We start from the raw sequence: 3,923 nt of genomic DNA on the forward strand, positions 1-3,923 counted from the left end.
TGGGGCGTTATCAACTCTTCCTGGCTCTCCCCTTCTGAGCACATGGGAGGGTGGCCCTCCTGGCTCGTTTGTGGGTGAATGGTTCCACGTGACCAGTTCCAGCCGATGCATGTGAGAAGTGGCATGTGCCATTTCCACATTTCCAGACCTAAGTAATTTTTTCTTTTTTCTTTTTCTTTTCTTTTTTTTTTTTCGAGACAGAGTCTTCCTCTGTCGCCCAGGCCGGAGTGCAGTGGTGCAATCTCTGCTCACTGCAACCTCCACCTCCCCGGGTTCAAGTGATCCTGCCTCAGCCTCCCGAGTAGCTGGGATTACAGGCGTGCACCATCATGCCCCACTAATTTTTTGTATTTTTAGTAGAGAAGGGGTTTTATCATGTTGACCAGGCTGGTCTCCAACTCCTGATCTCAGGTGATCCACCTGCCTCGGCCTCCCAAAGTGCCGGGATTACAGGCATGAGCCACCAAGCCCAGCCCAGGCTTAAGTGTTAATTGCCAATGCACCACCTTCCAAGGCAGCCTTTCCTTCCATCACAGTGACTGACAACTTTCAAGATGGCAGTTGCTCCAGTAGCCCAGGACCTGAGTGAGCCCCCATCAACTCTTAATGGCCATGTGTGAGTGAGAAACATTGATAGTTTAACTTTGAGAATTCTGAGATATTAGTTACCACGGCATATCCTATCCCATCTGGACTAGCACAGTGATGATGTGGGGAGTATTTCCTATGAAGAATTAATGTAACGGTTTTGAGCAGAGAGAGCCCAGGTAAGTTCTGTGTTTTAGGAAGATGGCCCTGGCTGCTGGGTGGAGGATGAATGGGCAGGTGGGGGGTCTGGACATCATTCCAGTACATGCTGCGGTGAGGCAGGCATGAAATGGTGAGGCCTGAACGAGGGCATTGTAGTGAGGCTGGAAAGATGTGAATGGATTTGAGGAATCGGTGGAAGAAAGGATGGATGGGGCTTTAGATTTTGGAAACTGGATGTGAGAGGAGAGGGCAAGAGAGGTGTCAGGGAGGAGTCCCTGGGTTCAGGGTGGGGCACCTGGTGGATGGTGGTGCTTTCTCTGAGATAGGGAGCACTGAGGAGGAGCCACTTCAGGGTGATGAAGAGTCCTGATTGGGACGTGCTGGGTCTCAGAGCCTTGAGACATCAAGGAGAGGGTGTCTGGCAGGCATTTGGATACATGGGTCTCCACTCAAGGCGGAAGCGCAGGCCGAACAGAGTCAGGATCGGAAGCACAGAGCAGTGGCCTGGGGCAGTTCCTGGGGCAGAGGAGGAAAGGAAGTGGAGAGGTCCTGACTACCAGCAAGGGGAGCCCATCCCCCTTGTGACCCCACCCAGCACTCTGGGGCAGAGACCCTTGCCCAGAGGCACTCCTTGTCCAAGGGTAGGAGCCTCCCTTCTGTCCTGAGGGCTCTCCCAGTCCCTGGAGGCTCAGGCACCTGTGTGGGTCTCCAGGCTTCCCAGGCCCCACTACCACCTCTTCAGCAAATCAACACTTCCAAGCGTGGAGACAAGTTCAGCATTTGGGATTCCCTATACCAAGGGGAGAGGCTTGGAGAGTCTAAAGTTTCTAGAGCTCTCTGCTGTTAAGAGTCTGTGCTTCCAGACGTCTCAGGCAGTTGGATGCACGGATCTGCAGATCCTGTTATTCTAAGACCAAGTGACTAGGGCCCACAGTAACCCCTTCCACCTCAGGATGCTGGTGGTGGAACAGATAGAGTCCCCGGTTTTGGCCTTGCCCGTGCTGGCTATGCCGTGTGTTAATGTGGCCCAGCGTGTGAGTTCATCTCAGCAGGTTCCCTGAGCGCGGCAGATGCCGCCTTTGCCGACTCACCACCAAAGGTGCCTTGAGTCCTCTGGGGAGTGTGGGTGCTTAGAGGGCCAGGTCTCATGTGGGGACGGTATGAGCTTCAGCCCTTTCCAAGTCTTGGAGTCCGGAAGCCACCAGGAACCAAAAGGATCTTTGCAAATCATTGTTTTGCAGCAGTTTCTTCTCCAGGGCAGCCAAAATCTGGCTGGGGTAAGAGCCTAGAATTTGACCTGAGGCTGCTTCCCAGGAGGAGGTGGCCGGAGCTTCCAAGGGAGAGGGCAGGGGGGTGGGCCAGGACTCTGGCCCTGGGCCCCTGCTGTCTTCTGACTCTCCATCTGGTGCTCGGGCCATATTAATGATTTAAGGAACAATTATTGTAAGACCGAATTTCTTTTTGCAAACGCAAATGAAATGTGTTCCATCCTGCAATGAATTCCAGATGGTGGGAGCTCTCAGTGAGGGAGCTGGCTCCTCCGAGGATGGCCTTCCCCTACAGAGTGACAGCAGGCCGAGGACGAGCCAGCATCTCCTCAGCACTCCAGGCTTTACAAGTTACCCGACCCCTTTCCAGTTTGTTTAAAACCTTTTTCTTTTTCTGTGCAGATGTTCCTCTGGGTGAGCAATCTTTATAGTTTTGAAAAGATTATATCAGTTTTCCATGATATTGTGTTACTGTATTTCTTGGGCTCCCCCTTTTTTTAATAGCACTAGAAAGGCCAATTCCTTAATCAGACATTACTAATGGAATGCAGAGAGGGAGGGTGGAAAGCCAGGCGAACTGGGAGAACTAAGCCCTGGGCTCAGAGTAATGCAGAAGGAAAACAGACTTCCAACGGACTCCTTCCAGAGGCAGCTGTTATGGTCAGAAAGCTGAGAAAACTGCTTGGGCCGTGCATTTTTCGATGATTATCAAAGGTGTTAAAATAGAGACAGAGGCACATGTTTGGCTCGAGGGTGGGAGAGGCTGCCACACAGTTTTGCAGGCTTCAGCTGTCTTGAATCAAAACTATCACTTTGATACTGGAAAATTATTATGAAAATGTTAGTTTTGGGCCTTGGAGCACAAAGCAAAGATTGCTTGGAAGGCTGGGGGCTCTTCATTTAGCATTTGTGTCAGGTCCAAAAATAACCTCTCTCAACTGTTGGATTTCACCTTTATCCAGGCTTAGAGGCAGCTCCATTCTGCCCCGCAGCTCTTCGATTAAGGGACCGACAGAGACATGAGTGAGCTGGAGGCCACCTAGTTTTCAAGCTCGGCAAAGTTGGAGGATGGGGAGGTCAGGGAAAGCTTCCTGGGCAAGAGGGATTAACTCCTGATATTGGGAGAGAAAAACAATTTATACAGGGAAAGAAGGCAAGAAAGGGGAACTGACATTTTTTGAAGGCCTGTTCCATAGCAGGAATCAGCCTCCTGTTTTAAGGTGGGGGTTCGAGTAGTCACACCACATCCAGGACACCTGGTGAAAGAGTTGAGGTTCCGTTGCACTTAACCCACTCCACTGGCCATGAGGGAGAGAAGGGGAGAGAGGAAAGGAAAGCTGGAAGCCCGTGGCCCTGCGGGGTGGGGAATAAATGATCCGAGGTCATCTCAGTTGCAATATGAGAGGGTGGGGTTGGGGCAGCCGTGACCCTAGGGAAGGCTGGCCGAGGAGGACTTTATTCTATTAGATACTGGGAGATTTAAACAACCACTGTTCAAATTTCAAATTGGTTTTTTTATGCTTCAAGTTTTTTTGCTGGGCTCTCTTCCCAGAAAGGAAAGGGAAGAGATCTAGACATTTACTGACCTCCTACCACATGTGAGGCTCCGGGAACCGGGGACCAGGAAGACATAAACCCTGCCCTCACAAGCTTCACAGTCCACCTGGAGAGGCAAGAGAAGGATGGGGCTGCAGGAGCCCAGAGGAGAGGCTCCTCCCTGAGATCGGAGGAGACTTCCTGGAGGAGGACTAGGGTACCTGCTCTGAGCTCTGGAGGACAGGGAAGAGATGGCTGAGCTAAGCCTTCAAGGATGGCAGGCATTTGCCCAGGAAAGAGGCTGGAGCAGTCTGTGAGACAGAGGGACTATGGGCAGGCCAGTGCGGCCACAGCTCCAGGGGAACAGTG

The 3,923-nt window shown here is 51.8% G+C and overlaps 1 annotated feature.

Moving 5' to 3' along the window:
• Positions 1,302–1,857: an enhancer, noted in NCBI's record as "H3K4me1 hESC enhancer chr1:48108761-48109316 (GRCh37/hg19 assembly coordinates)". NCBI's record gives its function as "activates a minimal SCP1, AML or CMV promoter by ChIP-STARR-seq in naive H9 embryonic stem cells {active_cell/tissue: H9 hESC(naive)}" and the evidence as "EXISTENCE:reporter gene assay evidence [ECO:0000049][PMID:30033119]".

The sequence above is a fragment of the Homo sapiens genome, chromosome 1 (assembly GCF_000001405.40).
Source record: "Homo sapiens chromosome 1, GRCh38.p14 Primary Assembly".
In the NCBI taxonomy this organism is placed as follows: domain Eukaryota; kingdom Metazoa; phylum Chordata; class Mammalia; order Primates; family Hominidae; genus Homo; species Homo sapiens.